Here is a 25902-nt window from a genome sequence, read left to right on the forward strand (position 1 = left end):
ACAGAGAATTTTACAAAGAGTTTGATTTTATTGATATTTAAATATATTAAATATTTCACTGAAATACATGGTTCACCATCCTCCCCCACCCCCACAGTGGTTACATTATAAAACCAAAGCCCACGGCCTCCCACCTCCTGACTCCTCTACCAACTGGGTGAGGAAAGGGACAATGGTAGCCCAGGGGAAGGGCATGGCTGGCACTGTGGTACGGGGATCCAGGGTGTGGACAGGCCCTCCCACCTGGCAAGAAGCAGAGACAAGCCACCCAAGGCTGAGGTCTTCCCACTCTGATCTACTTATACCCTCACCCCTACCCCATGGCACCAAGTAGTCTCTTCCTATCCCTTCCTATCCAGGGATATGGCTGGGGACAGGGGAGTAGATTTTCTGTCTGGAAAACAAGTCTTTTCCCCTCCTTCTGCCATGACTAATGAAGTACCTGATGGCCCATTTGGTTGATGCATGAAGATGCCCAAGGGAGGCATTACCCAGAAACCAGGCCTCCACAGGGAGCTGGTGTCAGAAGGGGCATGAGGAGGGGCAAGTGCACTGCCTGCCCCTTCCACTCCCAAACCTAGCAACTCTGGAAACCCTTCTCCTCTGCCTCTCTAGTCATTTCCAAGACAAAGTGATCTTCAAGCAAAATTCAGGCTAGTGCCTTTGGCTTAAATAGGTACAGACAGAGAAACTGAGGCACCAACAAATTCAGGCCAGAGTCAAGGAGGTTGCAGGGAAAGGGGTAAAAGGAAGGCAAAGACAGGAAGGGAATCTAGAGTTCAACCTCCTAACCCTTCTGCCAGCCCTCAAGGCTTCACAAGGGACTGGGGAGCTAGAAACATGCTAGACTCAGGCTGAAGGCTGGGGAAAGCCAAGTTTAAGGTTCCTCTTCCCCACCCCGTAGTACCAGTATCCAGGTCCTCAGAGGGATTCCATGCTACCCCAGCCCCAAAGCATACCATGTCCCAGGACACTATCTGGGGAAGCCAGGAAATTCCTCAGCCTCTGTCCATCAAACCCCAGACAGTTCAAGTGCTGGCATGGAGCACTGGGGCTTAAGCAAGCGCTTGGGTCCCTGCCACAGACAGGGAGAGTCATGCTGCACACATGGCCCCCGAACGGCACTTAGGGATTTGGCACAAAAAGGACTCCTCTCCCTCCTTTTGCTACCACACCCCATCCCACTCCTGTGCAACCTGGGCATCTCTCTACATCCCCTGAAGTAGGAAACCCTGCTTTATTCCCAGAAGACAGAGGCCCACAGGAGAGAGGCAACCTGGGGTGGAGAGCTGAGGAGCAGGAGCACAAGGACTCACATAGACCTGGAAAACAGATATGCACACAAAGACCAACATGCACACACAGTTACACAAACACACGGGCCCTCCCCAACACCAGAGACTTGGGAGGGCAGGTTTGGGATCAGGGTCACCTTTCTCCATGCCCTGACCCTTTTCTATTTGGCAACAGAAGAGGAAGAGATGCTCCATGCCCCCTTGTCAGCAGACAGCAAGAGAGCACTGGGGCAGAGTGACCTGATCTGGACCCCGACGGGGTCCTCAGATCAGAGTCTGGCACTGCCCCAGCCCTGGCCGGCCTGCTCTTTGGCACCTGCAGGTGAACTTCCAGCTCCTGACCTGACATCCCCACACACAGGCTTGCTCTCTGAGCATTTTTCACAGTACCAGTGAGGCCAGACACCCCGTTCCCTGGAGCGTGCAGGAACTGGGGCTAAATCTAAGCTGTCAGAGGTCCCTTTGTTCCCCTTTGGGGACAGATCATGGGACTAAGATTTGGCACATGGAAACATTCTCCTGAAATATGGCCAAAGCTGGCTCCCCAGAGCTTCTCCCTCCTCTGCTCTGTGCATAGGAGGGACACCTGGCTGGGGTGGGGAAGTGCCCAGGACCAGTGCTGGGGATGCAGGTATTGCAAAGGCAAGCATGGAATAGGCACTCCTCATGCCTGTCTTTGTACAAAATATTGTACAAAATATTCCCAGGAAAAAAGAGGGAAAAGAAGGGCTCAGCCCTGAACCTGCTGCCCAGACAGACAGGGAAGGGTAGGCATGGCAAGCTGCCATTTTAATCCCTCAGGCAAGAGGCCTCCCTCTGCTTCTGCTACTGACCCCTCCCCTGCTCCCAAAGGCTGGAAGATTGGAGAGGGAACAGCCCTACCCCAAGTAAGAAAGAAAGTCACTTGCATAATCCTCTCGGTAGGTAGCCCCTTGTTTTCCAGCTTGAGGGCAGACGAGCATGATCCAAGCACAGCCTGCTGGGATGTTCCCTTTTGTGGTTAGCAGGGTCTGGAGGCTCAGTGCCCCCTGCCACAGCTCCACCCAGTGAGCACAGAGTCCACTCAATGCCCACCTTGGTCCCTTCAGCTGAATTTGTGGCTGGGCCCTGTTAACTGCTGGGGCCCCCATTGAGGAAGTAGGTGGTCATCTCCCCCTTGCCCTTCACCTTGACCACCCCTCGACACTCCAGCTGGTAGCCCTTGGCAGCTAGAACCTGGTACAGGTCCGTGGTCACCTGGGGGAGTGGGAGGGGAGCCCGCTTAGCCTGGAATCCTTCCTGCTGCATTTGCAGGGGCCCAGGGGTTCTCTAGTCAGGCTAGCTCCCTTCCCCCAGTCCCTGCCCCACCATACACAGAACACTAGCCACCCTACCCCTGTCCTAGCAGACTGCAGAGACACCTGTGGAAGCCCTCCGGGCCCATGTTCCTCCCAGCCCCTGCTCATATCCCCCTCACCTGGATTCGGTCGGGGACCCCCGTGCTGTCCATACGACTAGAGACATTCACTGTGTTCCCCCAGATGTCATACTGTGGCTTCCGAGCCCCGATGACACCTGCCACGACTGGGCCCATGTTCAGCCCTGAGGTGGAGAGAACAGCAAGAGACTAGTGGATGCTCCAGGGTAAACCCAGGGAGTCATCCCACCTCCTGGCACTGGTAGAAGGACCCAGAGAAAAAAATGGAAAAAGGACAAGTCTCCTGGTTGTAAAGAACAATCTAGTTCAAGACGAGCCTGGCCAACATGGTGAAACCCTATCTTTACAAAAAAAAAATACAAAAATTAGCTGGACAATGGTGGTACATGCCTGTAGTCCCAGCTACTTAGGAGGCTGAGGTGGGAGAATAGATTGATTGAGCCTGGGATTTGAGGCTACAGTGAGCTGTGATTGTGCCACGGCACTCTAGCCTGGTACAGAGCAAATCCCCATCTCAAAAAAAAAAAAAAAAAAAAACCCAAAAAACAAATAAAAATACCCAAAGACCTGAGCACCTCAGTTTAGGAGCTCCCCTGAGTCAAGACAGCCATGCTATAACAGTAATCTCCTGAATGCCTATTCCATGTCAACCACTCTAGTAAGCATTTTACCTGGCTTCATCCTTTCTTTTCTTTTTTTTTTTTTTTGAGATGGAGTCTTGCTCTGTTGCCCAGGATGGAGTGCAGTGGCACAATCTCAGCTCACTGCAACCTCTGCCTCCCAGGTTCAAGAGATTCTCCTGCCTCAGCCTCCCGAGTAGCTGGGATTACAGACATGTACCACCACACCCAACTAATTTTTGTTTTTTTTTTTTTTTTGGGGGGGACAGAGTCTCGCTCTGTCACCCAGGCTGGAGTGCAGTGGCACCATCTCGGCTCACTGCAAGCTCCGCCTCCCGGGTTCACACCATTCTCCTGCCTCAGCCTCCCGAGTAGCTGGGACTATAGGCGCCCACCACCACACCCGGCTAATTTTTTGTATTTTTAGTAGAGACGGAATTTCACCGTGTTAGTCAGGATGGTCTTGATCTCTTGACCTCGTGATCCGCCTGCCTCGGACTCCCAAAGTGCTGGGATTACAGGCGTGAGCCACTGCGCCCGGCCTAATTTTTTTTTTTTTTTTTTTTTCAGTAGAAAAGGGGTTTCACTATGTTGGTCAGGCTGGTCTTGAACTCCCGACCTCATGATCTGCCCACCTCGGCTTCCCAAAGTGCTGGGATTACAGGCATGATCCACCGCGCCCGGCATGGCTTCATCCTTTCAACACCTCTAAAAGGTAGGTATTATTATCCCCATTTTATAGATAAGGTAACTGAAGCTTAGAGAAGTTAGAAGACTTCTCAAATAAGCCAGTAAATGGAGCAGCCAGAATTCAAACCAAATAGTCCATCTCTAGTAGCCATGCTATTAACCACTCCCATCCACCAGTTCATTTGAGAGGAAATACCTCTTATTGGACTGGTCACAGATAAGGACAGAAGTATTCAAGTTTATATAAACCTGATTTTTAATCCCAGCTCTGCCACTTACTAGTTGTTTGACCTTGGGCAAGTTATTTAATCTCTCTGAGAGTCAGTCTCTATCCAATGAAAGGCGATAATAGTATCAGGATTAAAATATGCTCAAAAATTTATAGGACAGTGCCTAATGATCTCTGTTCTTAATATCAGACTTGATATAGGAGGTCAGAGGGAAGAAAACCCCACAGGAGCCCTGATGGGAAATCTGTGATCCCATCCCCAGCCTATAATCCCAGCTTCACCTGGAAAAAGTCCTGGGAAAACCCGCCAAGCAACAAAGCCCTCTTACCAATCTTCATCTGGAAATTGTTGAAGGAGTGCTCATTGATGTGCTTCATCTGCTCCATGAGCCGCATGGCGTAGTCAGCCAGGGCAGTGATGTGGGAGCGGCCCACCTGATCGTAGGTGCTGGCGTTCAGCCCTGAGGCAGCCATGTAGGTGCTACCAATCGTCTTGATCTTTTCCAGCTGCCGGAACCGCTCCTCGCTGATAATCTGAACAACACAAGGAGACCTGGCTGTCAAGGCAAAGACCCCAGACCCAGCCCTGCCCCAACACTCATTTCTTGCCACGCCTTGGCTGCCTTCCCCACTTCCCTGTCTCAAGAGCCCCCTTCCAGCTGCTGCTATCAGTGTAAGACTGAGGAGCTGGGAAAACAGGCAGCCTAGGACTCCAGGCAGGACTTGGGCATACAGCTTCAGAAGGTCCCTCCAGTAGCTCACTCACAGAACACAGACCCACAAGTGCAATATTAAGCAATTTCTCCAATCCTTACCTTTTGGGATACTGAGTCCCAGAGTGAGCAAGTGACTTCCCTCCAGAACAGTGAACAGCCCATTCCTGATCTGGATGTTCAGGACACTACCTCACATTTTGCTTCAATTTTCTCTATTCAGAGGACCATCTTGCTTGGTTGGTCTCATGAGGTTCTGTCCACAGACTATTGCCTTCTTCTTCAGTGACATCCACCTGGTACCTATCCTATCCCCCTACAGATCAAGTCCTCCCCTGCTCCCCAACAGTGATGACCCTGCCCCACTAGGGCTGACCCCCTTGCTGCCTCTGACACCTTCATGGGTTCTTGCCTCTGCCTCCACTGTGCATACCCTTACCCCTGATGACTCTGGGTCCCATCAAATCTCTCTCTCTCTTCCCAGTTCCACTCACCCATTCCAATCCCTGGTCTCCAAGTACCCCCCACTCTCTGCCACCACCAGCCAACTGGAAAAGTACCTCATCAAAGTCAGCGATGATCTCGTTGAGCAGCCGCAGGCACTCGACACCCTCATTGTTTGCCTCCAGCTCCACATAGAACTCAGAGAAGTTGGCAATGGAGGCAAACATAACAGCCACACACTCACACGACTGATAGTAGAGTTCATCATTGCGGCGCTCCCGGGCCAGGAAGTGGGCCGCCACGTCCTTGGGCAGAATGTTATGCAGCAGCCTCCGGTTGTATGCCTGTAGCTCCTCCATCTCCTCCTTCTCCCCTGTTGCCTGTGGACACCACACCCATCACCCATTGCCCGACATTCACAAGGGGTAGGTGTGGTGGCCAAGGCTTGGAAGTGCGGATAAGAGGGAATCACATAGAGAAAGAAAGGCCCAGACAGATGAGGCCTAAAGAACAGGCAAAGGGGTAAAGGGGGCAGGTAGAGGATGGGGCAGGGAGTAAGGGATGGGCACAGAGAAGGAATGGAACCAGGGTGGGCCTAGGTGTGGCCTGAGCCTTAGCCAGCTAGCACAAGATACATTTCTGGCCTGGCCCAGGCTCCGCCCCTAGGTTCCTCCTCTTCCCCCAAAGGCCCACACAGTCACCTGTAGTTTCCAGAGGAAGTCTAGGCGGGCAGTCGACTCCACCTGCTGAGCATGCAGATACAGCGCCAGCGCAAACACCAGCAGAATCACAGGGGTCATATATTTGAGGGCCACCCTCCCTGCAGCTGGACTAAGGATAAGCAGAGACATGCTTGGTGTCTGAAGGAGGCATCTAATGGCTCTACCCTTTGCTGCCTCGGAGCCCTCACTTACCAGTCCAGCCCATCAAAGGTCTCATTGGAAGAAGCCCTGGTAAGAAGATAGAAGAGACAAAGTCATCAGTGCTTCCTGGATTGCTGGGTGGGCACATGGAAGGGGAGACAAGAGACTGCATTTACTGAGCACATACTGTAAGTCAGGCATTGGGCCAGGGCTTTTACTTACATTAATTAACTCATTAAGAGTAGAGGTTAAGAAAACCTCTGCTCTTAGAGACTCCTCTACTTACCAGCTATGTGACCTGAGACAAGTCGCTTAACTCTCTAAGCCTCCTTCCTCATCAGTACAACAGGGATCAGATCTAAATAATGTATGTAAAAGGCTTAGCACAGTGCCTGCCATATAGTCAGCCTTCCATAAATGTTAGTTACTATAATCTTTACAACTACCCTGTGATTTAGGTGACATTGCCATTTTACAGATGAAGAAATTGAGGCTCAGAGAAGCTAACTCACCTGTCTAAAGTCACACAGCTAATGAGCAGCAGAGCAGGGATTCAAACCCAGCAGAGACCAGAGGCTTTTTCTACTACAACAAGCTATGGCCACATATCAAAGGAATGGGGTTTTGCAGAGGAAAAGCCAGTGTGGTGTCCCAGGCAAAGCCCCCAAGCAGGAATCAGAAGCTTTGGTTCCTAACCAGAGCCCTGCCACCAAGCAGCTGTATGTCCTATAGGTGGTTAAGATGGTGGATGTGAAAGCACCATGCAAATGTAAGAGGGAATTTTTTTTTTTAATGTCTAGCCTAAAGACACAAGGATTTCCCAGGACTAGGGTTTCCTTGGGGGTAACTATTTGGGGTCACATGCTGGGAGCTCCTCCATCTCCTCCCTTTCCCCCACAGGGGTGTTGTGGCATTCCAAGGCACAAGGGGCATGGGCACCAGAGAGGCTCACAGTGACCTAGAAAGGTGAGGGAAGCTCCTGGGGTATTAAAGGACCTGAGAATAAACTCACAAGCCATGGACGCCAAGCAGTAGGTCATAGTTGTCAAAGATGGTGGCTGGGGGACCCAGCAGAAGCAGCACCAAATAGATGAGCCCCAAGACAAAGATCATGGCCAACTTCCCGATGCTGCTGATGTGCAGGAAGACAGAGCTGGCCAAGAGACTCAGCAGCATGTTCCCGATGAAGTACTGCGGGGGTGGCAGAGGCAGCGTTGGGTGAAGGCAGAGGCCACAGCACCCTTGGGCAGGGAGAGCCCTGCACTCTCCTGCCTGACCTAACCTTCCCACCACACCCCTCAAACCCCCATATCCTCCACCTTCCATGCCCAGCCCCTACAACACACCAGGGCCCCTGGTTGCTCCTAGTGTGGGAGACTCTGGTGAGTTCCTGGGTCCCCAGCGCCCATCACCAGGCCTGGCACAGAAGGGCCAATGTCTGTGCCAGGACAGCCCCCCCACCGCCTGAGCACTGCTCGAACACCTCAGGAAAGCTGCAGGTGGGCATGGTGCCCTCACACAGGGGAGCATCCAGGCCCAGAGAGTAATTGAGCTGCTGCAGGTGGCAGGCAGTGATGTCAGCAGGTGTTAAATTCAGCATCCGGGCTGCACAGCTCCGTATGGGGGTGTGGTTACAGGTGAACTGCAAAAGTGGAGGGGTATATCAGGGTAACCAAGGAGGGAAAGGGTTGCAAGGTACCTGGTGAAGCCATGTACCCTAACCTGGGCTATGCCCAGGTACCTTATACCCCATGGGCCTTAGTACTCACTCAGGGATGACAAGAGGTTGGGAGAACAAGGAAGGAGAACCGGAGTTAACCTTCCCCTATTCTGGGAGGGGGCTCCCTGAGGGCAGAAAATATGTCCTTTTCTCCGCTGTACTCCCAGTGTCCAGGACAGTGCTTGGCACAGAGCAGAGGTGGGAGAATTCCCACTGGACCCTTACCATGTTGGCAATGGCAGAAGTAAACACAAGCAGGACGGAAAAGATGCCAACTGCGGTGCTATGTGCCCGTGAGCGGACAATGCTGCGGGACAGACGTTGCAGGGCCTTAGGGAACAGCTAGAGGCATCAAGAGACCAAGAGTTGAAGGTTGTATCAGCCAAGGAGGAATGGCAACCAGGGATGGGGCCCAGTGGAAGAGGCATGGCCTTCTCCCTCTCCCCATGTGACCTCCTCCCTGTCTGGAGTCCAGCCTGCCCTCCCCAACAGCCTCAGAAATCCCCTTACGTACAGAACCACAGGAGTACACAGCACAGATCAGCACGGTGATTAGCAGCAGCAGGAAGATGCTGGCATAGATCCCAAGCATCAGGGTGGAGCTGGGGCAGAACAGGGCCAGAAAAATCATTTAATTCTGGAAGATCTGGGCATTCTTGTCCCACCCTCTGGAACAAGCAGGGATGCAGGCTCCAGGGATTGTGGGCTTGTGTGGGTATTTAGGAAGCTTCTGGGAAGTGGTGAAGAGAGAAGCTAAGAGAGGAAAGGCAGGGCTCTCACTGTGGGAAGATGAGAAGCTGGATGAAGCAGATGAAGCAGAAGACCAACAGGGCACAGGCAACGTAGGCTCCGAAGCGGGGATCCACCTTCCGGGAGTACTGAGGGAGAGGAGGCTGAGCTGAGTGCTGGGCCCTCCCTAAGGAAGGCAGGGACAGCAAGGACAGGGCACTACCAGGGGTCTCAACAGGGAGGAGATGCAGTTGGCTCAACTGATGAAATCCTCACCCTGCTCTGTGGTCCCTTCTCCATCCCCCAGAAACACCTGTGCCCTCACCTGTGCTCAGCCTTCCCTGCTGCGACCTGCCCCTCCCCCAGCCCTTGTCCTTCTGCCCTGTATCCCTCAAACCTTCTTCTCAAGATCCTCTCTCTGGAAGGTGAGCAGAAACCGGCGCACATGGTCCTTCCGCAGCTGATCAATGCTGCGGGCATCGATGGCACGGCTCAGGAACTCATCCACCTCATCCTCAGGGTTCAGGGCATCTTGGGTGCCCCGGCTGAGGGCAGGAGACATGGTTTCACCAGTTGCATGGGCATGGCCATGTGAGAAACAATGAAAGGAAAGGTATGGACAGCACCTGAGGGAGGGAGGGAGAGCCAGGGGGGTGGCTCCTGCTCCCACACAACACTCCTAAGGTCAGGGAAAAGGAGGATCTCGGCTCCCCCCAGCCCCATCCCAGGGTGCAAGTGCCTTCTCCCTCCTCAGTAACCTGACTTACTTGTCTTTGCTGGAATCATCAATGCCCTGGAGAAAGGGACAGAGTGTGGAGTGAGGTGAAGGGCCAACAACCTTCATCTCTGCAGCTCCTTCCCCCACCCCAACACTGTGCTGAGGGTGTCCCCGTCATATCCTCTGGGGGCACTGGGACCCGAGATGAAATCTTCTCACTGCCCCAATACCAGAAAGCATACATGGAAATGGCAGTCACAAGAAAGGACAGGGTCAGGGACAGGGTATTGAGGGAGCTAAGAAAATGAGGCCCTAGGTCTGGTGCTGAGGGCCCCTCACCATCTGGCGGAAGGCCTTGGAGTCCTTGGTCCGGGAGAAGGCACGATCAGGAACCCAGCGCGGCATCAGCCCTTCCATGGAGTTGGCCCGAGTCCGCTGCAGCTTGGCCAGCATGGCCTTCTCCTCTTTCTGTGCGGGCAGCATGGGTACAGGCTCAGAAGAGGGGCCCAGAGGAGGCCTTGGCCTGCTCCTCCCCATTTGTCCCTCTTCTTGCTCCCCTGCCCCCAGCCCTGCCCTGGCCCTGACCCGTTTCTGGCTGGCGCCCAGGATGAGGAAAGTCTCAATGTGCTGCTCCTTGAGGTACGCGTTGCGCTCGCCACCACGGCCTGGCTCCACCTCGTAGTCCCCGTTCAGGTACTGCAGTGTTGCCCGAGTGATGTGGATGCGGCTGTATGTGGCCAAGAGGGTGAGACCCTGGCTCTCCCACCTTGCCCCCATCCCCCCCACCTGGACCCCCCTACTCACCCAGCCCGGCCTCCTGCCTCCATGTGGTTGGCCAGGGTCACATCATTGGACCACACATCGAACTGCCATTTCCGCAAGCCAAGGACGCCGCAGTGCACGCGCCCGCTGTGGATGCCCACGCGCATGTTCACATTCACACCTGTCACCTCACGTACCAGCCTGGGAGGATGCAGCCCCAGATCAGCTCCTGGCAGTCTTCCCCTCCCCCAGCCCACAACCCAGGCCCTTCACTCCTCTCAGGGCCCAGCGGGCAAGGACAGACCCAGATGCAGGGGACGGGAGCACAGCCTTGGTTGGACATGAGCAGAAGGCTGCATGGGGCTCAAGGACAAATGTTAAGGCTGTGTTCAACAGCAGGGGCCCAGCAGCATCTTATGGAACTGAGCTAGGAGAAGAGGAATCACTGTTATCCCCTCTGGCCTGCACAGATGGCATTCCCTCTAGCCCAACTCCCCTACTGCATAGGCTCTCCCGGCCCCATCTCGGCTGGCTGGGAGTCTAGGGGTCCGCATGGGTCTTTGCACAGGTTGGAGAAAGATTCCCCTTCCCAGTGACAGACAGACCTCAAAGACAGAGAAAGCCAAAACTGAGGAAATCTCCTGAGGTCTCATCAAAAAGTAGGAGCAGTCTGGGGCACCCGCAATTCCAGGAAGCCTAGGAATGGGGCACTGCTTACGAGATGGCCTCAATCATGTCTACCCCCATCTCCACACAGCAGTGGGCATGGTCGGCCCGGGCCTCCGGCAGCCCTGACACACAGTAGTAACAGTCCCCCAAGATCTTGATCCTCAGGCAGTGATTCTCCTGAATGGGAAGGAATTGGAGGGAAGGGTAACCTTTACTCTCTTGCCCACCCAGCCTGCATGGCCCACCACCCTCCACGCATACTCTATCTGCCCTCAAATCCCCAGCTGCTGCCAGCAAAGCTATGCTCTCACCACGGTCAACACCCAGGCCCAATCCCAAGGCCCAGCACCCTCACCGCAGCCAGCTTGTCAAACCGGGCAAAGAGCTCATTCAGGGTCATGACCAGCTCCTGCGCAGTGCACTGGGATGCCAGGCTGGTGAAGCCCTCAATGTCTGCAAACAGGATGCTGTAGATGACAGCAGAGGATGAACAGAACACATAGCCCTCAAAGACTTCCAGACCCCCCGCCCTGCTGGGCATCCTCCTACCCTCACCCTACCTGACATTGTCATGCTTCTGTATGTAGATCTTGTGGAACATCATGTCTTCTTTTTTTGTGTTGATGTCTTCTTTCATCTCCATGGCAACGTGCTGGGGCAATACCGACAGCAGCAGCCGCTCCTAGCCCAGTGGTTCCAATAGGGCATCACTATACTCTTGGTCTCACATTGCAATCCCTCCTGGTCTCTCCACATCGCCAGAGCCCTCCTAGACTTCTCTGAAGACCTGACCTTCCCTTCTGGACTGTGGCCTGACCTTCCCCCATCAGAGCCCCCTCTGACCACCCTCCATTGAGCCCCCAGATGTGCTCCTGTCTACGCCCTCCTTCCCTTGGACAGGACAAAACCCCAGTATCACAGGGCCTCTGTGACGCACAACCCAGGGGAACCATCACACTGTGCTGCACGGAACTGGACAAGGCAGCAGATCCAATGTGCAAGTTATTTGGGGGTAAGGTGGGGGCAGGCCCTGGTCACGGGGAGCAGCCCCACCTGCTGCCGATTCTCATGCTGCAGGTGGAGCCGGGCCTGGATGTAACCGCGGGTCTCCTGAAAGGCCTGGCGCTGAGACACCTCTGCTGGATAGTGTGTGCAGATGCCAATGACGTTGGTGCAGAGGAACAGCAGCACATTGGCACCGAGCTGCAGGAGGTGGCAGAGGCAGACAGTGACCATCTCCTCTGCCTGCCCCCCTAAACACACACACACATTCACACAACTTGCTAGGTTCTCTGAGGAAGGAAGCCAGGGTCCTGCACCCTGTCTGTCCCCAAGCCACTGCCACCCCTGCAATATATCTCTCCCATTACCCACAGGACCCCAGATCCCAGCCAACTGCCTGAATCCTCCATGACTAGAAATGAGATCTTTTCACAGCTTCTGGAAGCAGAAGACCAACTAGGGCCAGATAAGTCATGGGGCCCAGCCCCAGCACCCTGTATCTCCTGCTCCTCAAACACCCCACACAAAAGACAAACGCTGCTCCTTTTGCAGGTGCTCCTCCTTAAGGACAGCACCCAGGAGACCTGAGCTCTACATCCTCCTGTGAGTGACCCAGGACAAGTCACCTCCTCTCTCTTGGGTTTGCTCATCTATAACCCAAAGAGGAAGAATGAGAAGATCTCTAAAGCCTCTCCCTGACTTGACATAACTTAGTAACAATAATCACCATTGTCATTATTATTATGGTAGCTAGTTTGTTGGCTGCCTACCATATGCCAGGATTCTGTAGGTGTCTTCTATACACTGAATAACACATTTTTTTTTTTTTTTTTTTTTTTTTTGACAGAGCCTTGCTCTGTCACCCAGACTGGAGTGCAGTGGCCTGATCTCGGCTCACTGCAACCTCCGCCTCCCAGTTCAAGCGATTCTCCTGCCTCAGCCTCCAGAGTAGCTGGGATTACAGCCACCTGCCACCATGACTGGCTAATTTTTGTATATTTTTTTAGTAGAGACGGGGTTTCACCATGTTGGTCAGGCTGGTCTTGAACTCCTGACCTCAAGTGATCCGCCCACCTCGGCTTCCCAAAGTGCTTACGGGCATGGATTACAGGCATGATCCACCGCACCTGGCCCCTAACACATTTCTTAAAACTCTGTGAAATAGGTAACAATATCCCATTTTAAAGGTAAGGGAATGAGGCACAGAGAGGCCAAGTAACTTCCCCAAGATCACACAGCTGTTAGTGGCTAGTGTGAGACTTGAACCCAGGACAATCAGATTCCAAATCCTGTGTCCTAATCCTACTATCTATCTACTGCATTCCATACTTTGTAGTGCATTCCAGGTTTCCAAGATTCCTACTCACTCTACTGAGTCAAGCTCTCAAGCCCAACCTCAGAGCCCTGGCTTGAGAGTCATCAGTTCTACTGATACAAAGGATGTCCCCTAATTGGAGATGGGGTCCACCATGCCTGGCCACCCCTCAAGGTGTAACTCCCTCTGACACTCAGCCCTGCCAGGCCCTAGGCCTAGGGCCCCACCCTAGGAATGTTCAGCCCCCAATCATCATCAGCGGCACTGGCTAGAGAGCAAGTCTAAGGGAAGCTGGCCTCAGTGTTTCTGGAAACTCAGGAATTAACCTGGAGCTTGCGGCTCCACCCCAGAGTTGGATGGGGCAGGGCTCTGGTTTAAGGAGAAGGGAGAGAAACAGCAGAAGCACTTCCTGGAAGCCAGAGGTTCTGGGCTCTAACTTGAACTAGAACTAGTCCTGCAAAATTGGGCAGGTCACTTAAACTTTGGGACCTCAGTTTCCTCTTGGGTAAAACTGAGGGGGAGGCCTGGCTCACCCCTAGCCATTTCCAGCTCCAGCCTCTGGGATGGGCCTCCTAGCTTCCCTTCCCAGTCCAGCTCACAGGCCCAGGATCAACTAGGCTGAGCTCCCCCTCCCAGCAGCAGGGGTGAAGAGAGGGGCACACTATCTCCCTTGGGGGTTTCTAAGAATAGCCCCCAGTGGGGGAGAAGGGAAGGGGGGCAAACCAGGCAACTTCCCTTCCTGGCCCCAGGAGCCCAAGAGGAAAATGTGAGTCACGGTGGAGGGAAGGGGAAGGGGGACGAGACTGAAATAACTCTGTACACACACATCCCTATCTGACTATGAGAAAAAATGGATGCCAGGGGACCGGAGGAGACTCCAAGCTGGGCCTGGGTCACTGGGTGACACTGTTCAGTATGTCTAAATGAGTGGGTCGGTAGGGGACAAAGTCTCCTTCCTGTGATTGTGAGTAGGGGTGGATCTGGGAAGGGGCTGCCCAAGTAGACGAGGAAGGAGGCCACAAACCCCACCTGTCTAGAAACCCACATACCCAAATGGGCACAGGGAATGTTTCTCAGCCCAGAGGAAGTTGTATGGGCAGCTCTGGCCCCAAGGACTGGCACAGGGGCAGCAGTGAATTTCGCCACTGCCCCAAGAATGTGCCTATCGAGATCCACTACATGAAGCTGTAGCCAGACACTCCTGGGGAGACGGGCACAGTCCTGGCCTCCCTGGGACTGCACCTCCCCAGTCAGGCACTGGGCCTGGCTCTGGGCACCATGCCAGTCGAGAGCAGGGAACAGATGCCCACCCAGCCCATGCCTGGCCAGAGAGGAAGGGGGAAAGGAGACACCACCTCTAAGCTCCTTCCCCAGGAGGGCAGTCCAGCCATAAAGCCCTGGTTGAGAGCCACCCTGGAAGAGAAGCTTTGGGGCAGAAGGACCTGGCCCTTTAAGATGTCTGACAGTGCCCTAAGGGCACGTGCTCCACAAACAAACGGGCTATAAAGTTACTTTTAAAAAGGTACGTTCTGGCATTCTGGCATTCTGGCCAGGTGCGGTGGCTCACGCTTGTAATCCCAGCACTTTGGGAGGCCAAGGCGGGTGGATCATGAGGTCAAGAGATCGAGACCATCCTGGCCAACATGGTGAAACTTGTCTCTACTAAAAATACAAAAATTAGCTGGGCATGGTGGCGCGCTCCTGTAGTCCCAGCTACTCAGGAGGCCGAGGCAGGAGAATCGCTTGAACCTGGGAGGCAGAGGTTGCAGTGAGCTGAGATCGCGCCACTGCACCACTCCAGCCTAACGACAGAGCAAGACTCCGTCTCAAAAAAAAAAAAAAACCACAAAAAAAACAGGTAAGTTCTGTTCTGCAGCACAGGCTGGGTGGAGAAGGGCATCATGCCAGAGAACCTAGCTTCTCACCCTGGGATCCCCAGGCAACTTCCTCTCTGTGCCTGAGGCAGGGTGGGCAACAGGCCACAAGCCTTCAAAACCTTGAGCAAGACAGCACTCTCTAGTTAGGGTCCAGTGGAGGACCCAGGCGCTGTGCTGATGGCGGGGCTGTGCCTACAGCAGCGCCTGAAGGACCCTGGCCTCTGCTCCCTGGGCAGGGGGGTAACAGGAGATGGCAGATCCACAAACTAACATCTCTCTGAAAGGGACTTCCCAGAAACCCCTTCACTGGGTACCATGCCTTCCAGCACTCCCCAAACCTCCCTGCCCCCAGGTGTGAACACTGCCCAGTCGGGTTCTACTCCACTCTAGGAAAGGGTGGGGCCCCAACAGCAACATGAGCTAGATGCTATTTTTATTCCAGCTTTGCAGACTGGGAAACTAAGGCTGGGAGAGGTGAGGCTAGTTGTCTAAGATCCCACAGAAAAGAATACAGCCCACTGGATAAGCAGGTCAGCCTACAGCCACTCCACACGGAGCCGTGGAGTCCCACCTCACACACACTTGGAGCCTGGAGGCAGCAACAGGCATGGACAGAGAACCTCAAGGAAAGGCGCCCAGGTCCCTGGTGCCCAGCATGGGGAAGGTGGGATACGATCAGACTTAACGCTCCTCTCTTCAACAGTCCAACCCCATTCAAACCACATCCAGCCCAGAGAGAACTGACCCCAGCTCTTCACCTTCCCTGTCCTCCCAGAAGTGGCCTTGGTCCAGGAAAGAGGGGACTCCTCTCTTGCTGACAACATCCAAAACCTGCTCTATACCTCCAGATCACCACCTAGAGCTGCTCTTCAGGGATAGCACCAGCGCCTCAGTCTCTGGTGTCAACTTGCCTGCTGAGATGCTAAGGCCTGGACACAGCCTGCACTGCCTTTTCAGCCCCACGGTGGCCCTGGGGCTATATACCACACCCCTGCCTCCAGCCCCACATTCTGTCTCTACAGACTGCACTATTTCAGCGGGCTAAAGAGCCGGAGACTGGGGCCCATGGTGACAGAGTTCAGGCTTGGGTCCTGGGGCCCTCCCTCCCCTCAGCAGTGTCCTCTACCCCAGATCCCACATGGAGGCAGACCCCTCAACCCTAGCCTCCCACCTCCTGCTCCTCCTCCCAGATACAGCCAGACATCCCTGCACCCAGCTTCCACCCATGACTCACCCGCCCTTCCTCACTAAGCCCCCACCTGCTTATGAGGTGAGAAATTCCCCACCTGCTGCCCTCCATCCCTACCTCCCTGGCCACCTACCTGCTTCCAGAGGAAGGCATCACCACGGTTAAGTTGCCAGGCCAAGATCAAATGCAAGGTGGAGAGGCCCAGGCCGCTGAGGACGGCAGCCCGCATGCGGATGGGGAGGAGCGTGTAGGCGATGTAGACAAAGAACACAGGGCACCAGAGGCCCGCAGAGGGGCTGCGCGGGTCTGCTGCGAGAGCGCCCCCGACCTGCACTGCCGCCAGGATGCCCAGCACCACGTAGCTCACCACCCACATGGAGTCCTGGCGGAAGCTATGCCGGTTACACACCACCATGAGCCCCACGAACAGGGCGGCGGCACAGGCCAACAGTGCCACATAGGCAGGCTGAGGGCGGGCGGGTGCGGCGTGGAAAGCCAGCAGCACCGCTGTGAGCAGCACCAGCACCGCCATCAGCAGCGTCAGGCTGCTCTGGTTCATCTGGAAGAAGTACCGCTGGTACAGGCGCTCCAGCTTGGCCGAACGGAACTGCTTCGACTGGAACACCTGCACCAGACGGCGCCAGCAGGATCGCCCACTCCTGGGCACCGCGTCGGGCGCCACCTCAGCCGTCCCGCCCGCTGTCGTTGTCACCTCGGTATCCTCGAAGCCCAGGGCCACTGCCCGCAGCCCCAGCTCCTTGCCCTTGCCTGGGCCGCCCCTCCGGATGAAGGCGTCATCCTGCCAGGGGCACCGAGGGGGGCCCGCAGGGGTGGGGCTGGGTGGCTCTGCATCCCGGAGGCAGCTCATATAGCGGGGCGTGCAGAAGCCACCTGCCCGAGTGCCACGGCGCCGCGAACGCTTCTGCCCATTGCGTTCACCCCAGGCTGTTTTCCGTTCATCCACTTTAGGGACCAGGAGGCCACTAAACCATGACATGTTGCTGGTAGGGAAGGAAGGAGATAGTATTAGAGACCATCCAGTAGGAGTGGTATTAATACCACCATCACAGCCACTGCCACCACTAGTAGCTCATTACCTAAGCACTTCCCACTGACAAGCTATGAGTTTCATCCTCATAAAATTACTTGGAGGTAGGCAACAAGGGTATCCCCAATCAACAGGTGAGAACCCAAGACACAGTCAGGACAAGAAACTTGCCCAAAACCAGGCACAGTGGCTTACACCTGTAATCCCAGCACTTTGTGAGGCCGAGATAGGAGGATGGCTTAAGGCTAGGAATGTGAGAGCAACCTGGGCAATACAGCAAGACCCTGCCTCTATTAAAATTTCAAAAAATTAGCCTGGGCCAGGCGTGGTGGCTCACGTCCGTAATCCCAGCACTTTGGAAGGCCCTGGCAGGTAGATCACAAGGTCAGGAGTTCAAGACCAGCCTGGCCAAGATGGTGAAACCTCGTCTCTACTAAAAATACAAAAATTAGCCGGGCGTGGTGGCGGGCGCCTGTAATCCCAGCTACTCAGGAGCTGAGGCAGGAGAATTGCTTGAACCCGGGTGGCAGAGGTTGCAGTGAGCAAAGATCGCGCCATTGCACTCCAGCCTGGGTGACAGAGTGAGACTCCGTCTCAAAAAAAAAAAAATTAGCCTGGTGTGGTGGTATGCACCTATAGACCGGGCCATTCAGGAGGCTAAGGCAGGAGGATTGCTTGGGCCCTGGTGGTGGAGGCTGCAGTGAGCCAGGATTGTGCACCACTGAACTCTAGCCTGGGCAATAGCCATAGCCTGAAAAAAAAAAAAAAAAGGAAGGAAGGAAAAAAGGAGGGAGGGAGGGAGAGAGGGAAGGAAGGGAGGGAAGGGAGGGAAATAAAATAAAATAAAATAAAATAAAATACAAAGAAAAGAAAAGAAGAAAGAGTTGCCCAAAGATCCAGCAGCCACATAAGTGAGAGAACCACGATTCTAAACCAGATTTGTCTGACCCCAAAGCCAGTATACTTGAAAATTTCCCTAAAAGGCACTGTTTGTTGGTGGTCACAAACTCAAGTGCCCAAGTCAATGAGTGAAGCAGCTTATGGTTCAGAACTGGGAGGAAAAGAGTTCATACCCTGTGCATGGGGCAGGCACCACCCAGCAGCTGTAGACTGTTGCCACTGGGTCCCAGTGGGTCCCGATCTGATTTTTCTCAACAGAAGCAGAAGAAAAAATCTGGAGTTTTTTTTTTTTTTTTTTTTTTTTTGAGACGGAGTCTCACTCTGTCACCCAGGCTGGAGTGCAGTGGCACGATCTTGGCTCACTGCAAGCTCCGCCTCCCGGGTTCACACCATTCAGCCTCCCAAATAGCTGGGACTACAGGCGCCTGCCACCATGCCCAGGGAAATTTTTTCTATTTTTTAGTAGAGACGGAGTTTCACTGTGTTAGCTAGGATGGTCTCGATCTCCTGACCTCATGATCTGCCACCAGCTAACAGTGATAATCCTAAGGCTCTTCAGCTTCCTCACTGCACCCCAGTCACAAGAACCTCTTTGCTGTTTCCCAACACACCCCGCACAGGCCAGCCTGGGACCTCAGTGCCTGCTGTTCCCTCTGTCTGGAACAAGAGCTCCTCCAGGTCACATCCCAAATGTCCCCTTATCAGTGAGGCTCCCTCTGACCACCCTATTAAAATAGCAACCCCCTTTCCTGGAGCTCTCTATCTTTTTCCCAGCTTTATGCTTTTTCTCCATAGCTCTAATCAGCAACTGCCATTCTATATATTTTTCTTATGTGTTCATTTTCTGTCTCTCCTGACTGGAATGTCAGCCTTATGAAGGCAAGGATTTTGACCTGCTGTGCTCACTGCTGTATCCACAACCCTTAGAAGGACCTAAACAAGTGTTCATTGAGGCCAGGTATGGTGGCCCACACTTGTAATCCCAGCACTTTGGGAAGCCGAGGTGAGTGGATCACCTGAGGTCAGGAGTTCGAGACCAGCCGGACCAACATGGTGAAACCCCATTTCTACTAAAAACACAAAATTAGCCAGGCATGGTGGCGCATGCCTGTAATCCCAGCTATTCGGGAGGCTGAGGTGAGAGAATCACTTAAATCCAGGAGGCAGAGGTTGCAGTGAGCTGAGATCACACCATTGCGCTCCAGCTTGGGCAATAAGAGCGAAACTCCATCTCAAAAAATAAAATAATAATAATAAATGTTCATTGAGTAGATGGATGACTGGATGGATGGACGAATGATACTCCATGCACTTTCTCTATGCTTTAAACTGTTCAAGATCTTTTCACATCCCTAATTCCATCTGATCTTCACCAAAACCCTGAGAAACTGGTCCTGTTGCCCCCTGGGGCACAAGACAAATTTGAAAGGAAAAATATATATAAACAAAAACTGAGGTCCATGGCAGTTTTATATGGCTGGCCCAAGTTATAGAGATCATGGTAACCAAATCAGTCCCAGATCCCACATTTCCTGGAGGAAATGTCATGAACTGAGGTGGGAGGACTCCATGATGATACCTTTAATGTGACTCCTGGCTGAGCCCAGGTCAGAATAAGATGAGGCTGACAGCACTGTCATCCATGCATGCCTGTGTCCCCACCAGGGCCACACTCCTCTATGCTCACAGAGTACCCTGAGGGGTCCCTTGTAATTAAACCTGCTGAGCTAGCAGCACTGACATTTGTACTCACTCGGGGACAGGATGGAGGAATACTCAGCACTTGCCCCAGGTGGCCATAGAATGAGAGCTCAAGCCAGATGGGCAGCGCTTGAAGCAGACACCCAGGGACCCACACGCAGAAGGCAGGCTGGGGAATTCTCTGCATACCCCAAACCTCCCATCCCTGAGTCACCCTCAGCCAAGATCTGTCAGCACCCCTTCTCCTATATCCCACAGAGCAGCACGTCCTTCAACCTCCTTTTGTTTTTTGGTTTAAGACGGAGTCTCACTCTGCCCCACCTAGGCTGGAGTGCAGTGGCACAATCTCAGCTCACTGCAACCTCTGCCTCCTGGGTTCAAGCAATTCTGCCTCGGCTTCCCCATAGCTGAGATTACAAGCACCTACCACCACACCCGGCTAAATTTTGTATTTTTAGTACAGACAGGGTTTAACCATGTTGGCCAGGCTGGTCTCGAACTCCTAACCTCAGGTGATCTGCCTGTCTCGGCCTCCCAAAGTGCTGGGAGTATAGGCATGAGCCACCATGCCTGGCCCCTTCAACCTCTTAACATCACCAACAGCACCATCTGGAAGGACAGATCAGGAATACAAGACTTTTGGTCAGGCTGGCATTTGGAAAAGGTCACCAAAGAAAGCCTTGCTCTTCAAAATACTTCATTAGAAGCATGATCTTTGGCATGAGACCAGGGTTCCAAACCTTAGCGTGATTATTTGCTAGCCACACTGCCTTGGGCAAGTTATTTAACCTCTCTGTGTCAGTACCTTCATCTGCAAAATGGAAATGATAATGGTCCTCAGGAAAGAATCTAATAATGCCTGTCAAGAAGTACACACTTGAAAAATATTAGTTCTTCTCCTCACTCTACAACACTTTAAACCCAAACCTCTGTCATCGTCAAGAGATGGAAAGATGAGGAAATCATGAGCAAGAACACACGTCTTTCTAGCCAGTCAGATGCCTGGTTCTATCAGTCCCTGTGTCCTTGGCTGTCAGTCCCCAGAGCTGCTGGAGACAGAGCCCAGAGTGAGCAGGTTTCCCACCACCATCCACCACCCACAACATTTTGCTTCAGCCTCCTCCATTCACCAGTCCCCTTCCCTGTTCTTATCTCCCCCAACACACCACCCCCACCAGCACTGGCCCGGACCTGTTCCCAAAGGACTAGTTTCTGGCCATGTTCCAAGCCCCCTGGAAACACATCCTAGCATCTGGCTCATACTCACAGAGAAAGGGGCAAATGCTATCCAGGAGAATGCATGACCCTCCCAGGAACACTCTGACCCCCCCCAAGGGGATAGCTTCAGAGCTATGTAATTGTCCAACCAACTGCAACCATCCCACCCTGGGCTCCACTCCAGGCACTGCCCATCCCGCAGAACTTGCCGGCCTCCCAACATTTCTGGCACCCCATGCCAGACTGGTATGGCAGGAAACAGGGTAGAGCACTGTTCCAAGCCACAAAATTTCTCTATATGGTCCCCCAACCCACTTTGTCCAGCAACCCATCACTATGAGCCCTGGGAGCACAGACCACCTCCCTCCTCCCCAGAGTCAGGCTCCTAAGCCTTGTGCCTCTACCTTCTCCTCCCCTGAGTGTTGGTCCATTTGCACTCTCACAGATCTGCTGTTCTTCATACCACCGGCTCCCACAGCCACAGCCATGTCCCATTCAGCCTGGCAGGCCCAGGCTCAGTGCCTCCCAGACCTCAAGTCCCTCCCAAACCCTGATCAGGCTGAGACCAGAGTTTGGAACCAGCCAAGGCCAAGGCCCAGCCCTAAGGATGGCTCTGCCCACTGCCTTGCCAAGCCTTCCTGGCCACCTCCTGTCTATCCCATCCCCAGGGCCCATCTGCCCCTGCCCTCCTTGGCAAAAGGAGGCTCCAGGGGATTAAAAACGACTTCAGAAAGTTCATGGTAAGAGGCACTGCCCAGGCGGGGCCCAGCAGTGCCAGCACCACCCACCATACTCGGACATGGGCCTCAATTCTTCAATTCTGGGCCTTTCCAGATGTAGAGGAGCCTACCCAGGGCCTGTATCTGTCGGTCCAGTGCCCGCTGCCGCCTTCTCCCATCCCCAGTCCTCACTCTCCCTAAAGATTACAGAGGGCTCCCACATCACCCTTTACTATGCAACCCCCACCAGGTCCCTCCAGCTCACAGGGGTAATCTGGTAAGGAGAGGATATGGGCAAAGAGGCTCCCACGCCTGATTCCACCTCTAGCCTTTCAGTCGAGCCCCAGAGTCTGCTTTGAATAAAGTCAGCTCCCCTGCCCACCCTGCGGCAGGCCTTGGGGGATGTGGGGAGCCGACCCCACCCCTTTCATTCCCAAGGTTTTGGGTGAGGGGAAGGAGAGGGACTCCCGCAGACAGAGGGCATCCCTCCCTCTGCCCAGGCCGGTTCCTCTCCCCTAAATGGAATCTCCCCCAAACTCGGAGACACCCCACAGCCCCGCAGCAAAAAACTCAGGCCAGCCCCTCCCCCAGTACGTGCCAGATCCTCCTGGCCTCCGGGCCAGCCTGGAACTCGCCCCGTGGAGGGAGGCAGGCGGCGGGCGACGGGGGTGGCGAGCGCCGGACCTAGGAGTCCTCGATCCCACTGCCTCCATGACTTCCCTTTGCCAACCCCAACTCCCTCGGGCAACACTGCCGAGACGACCCGTCCAAGGCTTCGGCGCCCCCACCCACAAACTCTTGTCGAGAGCCGCTCGGGTGCGTTCCAATCCTGGCGCACCGGGAGCCCGAGCGGCCACTTCCCCTAGCCCTCAGCGCGCTCACCTGCCGGCCCGGCTCCGCGCCTGCCCTGGGCCCCCGCCCCGCCGCCCCCGCGGGCTCCGGCCGGCCGGCCGGCCGTCCCGCGGTCCTCCGAGCCCGCGCGTCCTGGCCGTCCCGCCCGCCGTCCGCCGTCCGCCGTCCGCCCGGCCCTCGCCCCCTCCCGAGCTGTCCAGCGCAGCCGCCCTCTACCCCGGATCCAGAAGTCCCCTCCCCGCTGGCTCCCGGACTCCCCGCCTTAAAGGCACAAGCTCCTTTTGTCTGGGCATCCCCCTCCCCCTCCCCAGAAGTGGGGGCCGAGTTGCCCACTCCCCTTCCTAGCAGCGGGGTAGGGGCGGAGGAGGCCAAATAATGGGACCCCTCCCTCCGCGCGCCCCCTCCTCTCCTCCGGCCGCTTCCTCCCCCAGTCCTGGGAAGACAAGCAGCTACTGTTCTGGGATCAAGACCCCGCGGGGAGGGGACCTCGCAGCCCGGTCCCCTTCCCTTCACCCCGGCCGCCTCCTCCGGCATTCCTCTCCCGCCCTCACCCCGGGGGTCCCCGAGCGCGCCCGCAAACCCACCCCTCACGGCTACATCCCCCGCCCCGCCCACCGAGGGTCGCCTTCCTTCCTGTCAGGGTCCCAGGGGTTGGGCCGGCGCCCCGCGCCCACTCTTCATCCCCAATTCCTCCCTGCCCCTGCCCCAGCCCCAGCCCCCACCTAGCCATTCCCGCCCTGCCTGTCACGGCCCTGCGCCCTCCCGCGGGAACTCAGTTTAATAATTAATTAAGCTCTCATTCCACAAGGCGCCAGGTGTGTGCGGCCTGCTTGCCCGCACACCACTTCTTTCCTCTTCCCCCCAGTCTCTGGGGCAGCGGCCCCGAGGCGAACCTCGGGGCCCAGTGGAGGGACCCAGGGAAGGGGCACTCTCCCTGCCGCCCCCACAACCCCCCGCCCTACTCTCTGGGAGCCCCTCCCCCGCACCTGCCAACTTGCAGCCTCACCCCCAGGCATCTTTTACCCAAAGGGCTGTGCTTCTCTGCTGGGGGTTGGAGGGGCTACTGGGGTGCATTGCTAAGTGCACGAACTGAGAAACTGGGTCTTTAGTTATTTCCAGCACGGAGCAGCTGCCCAAGTTACCTGGGAGATGGGAAAATCGTGTGAAAGCTGGTTAACCCTTTGAGGATTAGAGTAATGGTGGAAGCAGAAAGGAGAAGGAGTTTCACTCCAGGATGTACGTAGGTGAGTGTGACTTTAGAGGGGGTGCCATTCTGGAGCTGGGAAGAAGGCAGCCTGCCTGGCTTCCTTTTGAGGCCCCCTCTCCATTCCCTCAGTCAGACCTCTAGCTCCTCCTTCCAATTCAGCCCTTCCCCAAGCAGCCTATTCCCCACCCAAGATCCCAAGACCTAGGTATCTGAAGATGCTTCCTCCTCAGGACCAGCCCTCCCTGCAGTCCTGTCCTTCAAGACTCAAGTCTTGTCCACTCCAAATCACCACTGGGATTCCTAAGTCCAGGACAGAGCTTCAGGCAAGGAAAAGAAGAGTTGGGAAAGCCAGTTTCCAACATTTATCAGCCACGTGTACCTGCAAACTATATACCTTGGGTAAATCATCAATCTCTTGAAATGGGAATAAAACCATCTGCCTTGTCTTTCTTACAGGGTTTTCAGAATCAGATAGAGAAATGTTTGTTATAATGTTTGAAAATGGGAAAGTGGTACTTTCTCATTTCTCAGTTGTGCAGGCCTGGCCTGCAATTTGATCTTTGGGGCCTCTTTGCCTGACTTCTCACTTCAAAATTTCCTTAAAAATTGTTTTTGCTGGCCGGGCGCGGTGGCTCACGCCTGTAATCCCAGCACTTTGGGAGGCCGAGGCGGGTGGATCACAAGGTCAAGAAATCGAGACCATTCTGGCCAACATGGTGAAACCCCGTCTCTATTAAAAATTAGCTGGGCGTGGTGGCGGGCACCTGTAGTCCCAGCTACTCGAGAGGCTGAGGCAGGAGAATCGCTTGAACCCGGGAGGCGGAGGTTGCAGTGAGCCGAGATCACGCCATTGCACTCCAGCCTGGGAGACAGAGCGAGACGCCGTCTCAAAAAAAAAAAATTGTTTTTGCTATCAAAATTTCCTCTTCAAAATACCTGAATCAGGTTATCTACCACTTACGCTTAGAATAATGTGCTCATGAGCCACATGGGGAAAATGCAAAAAACAATTGAGATAAATATGCGTTAAAAAATGAAATTTTAGGCCGGGTGCGGTGGCTCATGCCTGTAATCCCAGCACTTTGGGAGGCTGAGGCGGGCGGATCACAAGGTCAGGAGATCAAGATCATCCTGGCTAACACAGTGAAACCCCATCTCTACTAAAAACACACAAAAAATTAGCTGGGCGTAGTGGGGGGCGCCTGTAGTCCCAGCTACTCGGGAGGCTGAGGCAGGAGAATGGCGTGAACCCGGGAAGCGGAGCTTGCAGTGAGCGGAGATTGCGCCACTGCAGTCCGCAGTCCGGCCTGGGCGACAGAGCGAGACTCCGTCTCAAAAAAAAAAAAAAAAATTAAATTTTAGCTGGGCATGGTGGCTCATTCCTTTAATCCCAGCACTTTGGAAGGCCAAGGCAGGCAGATCACGAGGTCAGGAGTTTGAGACCAGCCTGACCAAAATGGTGAAACCCCGTCTCTACTAAAAATACAAAAATTATTGGGGAGTGGTGGCGCGCGCCTGTAATCCCAGTTACTAGGGAGGCTGAGGCAAGGGAATCGCTTGAACCTGGGAGGCGGAAGTTGCAGTGAGCTGAGATTGCGCCACTGCACTCCAGCCTGGGCAACACAGCAAGACTCTGTCTCAAAAAAAAAAAAAAATTAGCCCAGCGTGATGATACGTGCTTATAGTCCCAGCACCTTCCAGGCTCAAGTGATTCTCCTGTGTCAGCCTCCCGAGTAGCTGGGATTACAGGCGCCCACCACCACACCTGGCTAATTTTCGTATTTGTAGTAGAGAGACGGTTTCTCCATATTGGCCAGGCTGGTCTCAAACTCTTGACCTCAGGTGATCTAACTGCCTCAGCCTCCAAAAGTGCTGGGATTACAGCCGTGAAGCCACCGTGCCTGGCCTTAGAATCTTTTTTTTTTTCTTGAGACCGAGTTTCGTTCTGTTGCCCAGGCTAGAGTGCAGTGGCACGATCTCTGCTCACTGCAGCTTCTGCCACCTG

General features: G+C 54.5%; 2 protein-coding genes, 1 long non-coding RNA gene and 1 other non-coding gene across 15 annotated transcripts in view, besides 4 other annotated features; 2 read left to right on the forward strand and 2 right to left on the reverse strand.

Moving 5' to 3' along the window:
* The window catches only part of SPMIP11 (sperm microtubule inner protein 11), a 44025-nt gene extending 38751 nt beyond the window's left edge, over nt 1–5274 (forward strand). The window contains exons 5-6 of the transcript XR_002957306.2: nt 3903–4047; nt 4442–5274. The gene's annotated coding sequence lies outside the window, so the exon portion shown is untranslated. The remainder of the gene's footprint in view (nt 1–3902; nt 4048–4441) is intronic.
* ADCY6 (adenylate cyclase 6) lies at nt 9–23789 on the reverse strand. 11 transcript variants are annotated; one of them, NM_001412819.1, is made up of 22 exons: nt 23677–23789; nt 16386–17253; nt 11923–12072; nt 11430–11551; nt 11225–11336; nt 10919–11046; nt 10243–10401; nt 10024–10165; nt 9778–9906; nt 9488–9513; nt 9118–9265; nt 8772–8869; nt 8506–8593; nt 8217–8333; nt 7755–7913; nt 7284–7462; nt 6323–6358; nt 6110–6239; nt 5525–5788; nt 4581–4785; nt 2752–2876; nt 9–2531 (listed from the first exon to the last, which is right to left on the reverse strand). In NM_001412819.1, the coding sequence occupies exons 2-22, from the start codon at nt 17247–17249 to the stop codon at nt 2406–2408; spliced, it is 3507 nt and encodes a 1168-aa protein (NP_001399748.1). In that variant the 5' UTR covers nt 17250–17253; nt 23677–23789; the 3' UTR covers nt 9–2405. The 11 variants fall into 11 exon arrangements, 10 of the variants coding, with proteins under 10 accessions (NP_001399748.1, NP_001399749.1, NP_001399750.1 ...); NM_001412820.1 differs by lacking the exon at nt 23677–23789 and adding an exon at nt 23413–23466; NM_001412821.1 differs by lacking the exon at nt 23677–23789 and adding an exon at nt 23306–23367.
* Nucleotides 1341–1920: an enhancer, noted in NCBI's record as "H3K27ac-H3K4me1 hESC enhancer chr12:49161309-49161888 (GRCh37/hg19 assembly coordinates)". NCBI's record gives its function as "activates a minimal SCP1, AML or CMV promoter by ChIP-STARR-seq in primed H9 embryonic stem cells {active_cell/tissue: H9 hESC(primed)}" and the evidence as "EXISTENCE:reporter gene assay evidence [ECO:0000049][PMID:30033119]".
* Nucleotides 1921–2501: an enhancer, noted in NCBI's record as "NANOG-H3K27ac-H3K4me1 hESC enhancer chr12:49161889-49162469 (GRCh37/hg19 assembly coordinates)". NCBI's record gives its function as "activates a minimal SCP1, AML or CMV promoter by ChIP-STARR-seq in primed H9 embryonic stem cells {active_cell/tissue: H9 hESC(primed)}" and the evidence as "EXISTENCE:reporter gene assay evidence [ECO:0000049][PMID:30033119]".
* MIR4701 (microRNA 4701) lies at nt 5790–5852 on the reverse strand. The gene has a single exon (NR_039850.2). It is a non-coding gene; the product is annotated as a microRNA 4701 (primary transcript).
* Nucleotides 16425–17242: an enhancer, noted in NCBI's record as "H3K27ac-H3K4me1 hESC enhancer chr12:49176393-49177210 (GRCh37/hg19 assembly coordinates)". NCBI's record gives its function as "activates a minimal SCP1, AML or CMV promoter by ChIP-STARR-seq in naive H9 embryonic stem cells {active_cell/tissue: H9 hESC(naive)}" and the evidence as "EXISTENCE:reporter gene assay evidence [ECO:0000049][PMID:30033119]".
* Nucleotides 21307–21851: an enhancer, noted in NCBI's record as "H3K4me1 hESC enhancer chr12:49181275-49181819 (GRCh37/hg19 assembly coordinates)". NCBI's record gives its function as "activates a minimal SCP1, AML or CMV promoter by ChIP-STARR-seq in naive H9 embryonic stem cells {active_cell/tissue: H9 hESC(naive)}" and the evidence as "EXISTENCE:reporter gene assay evidence [ECO:0000049][PMID:30033119]".
* Nucleotides 22962–24350, forward strand: ADCY6-DT (ADCY6 divergent transcript). Of its 2 annotated transcripts, none has more exons than NR_110019.1 (3): nt 22962–23042; nt 23800–23934; nt 24128–24350. It is a non-coding gene; the product is annotated as an ADCY6 divergent transcript (long non-coding RNA). The 2 variants fall into 2 exon arrangements; NR_110020.2 differs by lacking the exon at nt 22962–23042 and adding an exon at nt 23391–23505.

This window comes from Homo sapiens, chromosome 12 (genome assembly GCF_000001405.40).
Source record: "Homo sapiens chromosome 12, GRCh38.p14 Primary Assembly".
NCBI classification, from domain to species: Eukaryota; Metazoa; Chordata; class Mammalia; order Primates; family Hominidae; genus Homo; species Homo sapiens.

Coding starts and splice junctions, on each gene's coding strand:
- ADCY6 (NM_001412819.1), bottom strand. CDS start 17,249: ATGTCATGGTTTAGTGGCCTCCTGGTCCCTAAAGTGGATGAACGGAAA. Junction 7,914..8,216: donor CTTCTGCCATTGCCAACATG/GTAAGGGTCCAG, acceptor CCACTTTTGCAG/TTCACCTGTAACCACACCCC. Junction 2,532..2,751: donor GGGTCCCCGACCGAATCCAG/GTGAGGGGGATA, acceptor CCACTCCCCCAG/GTGACCACGGACCTGTACCA.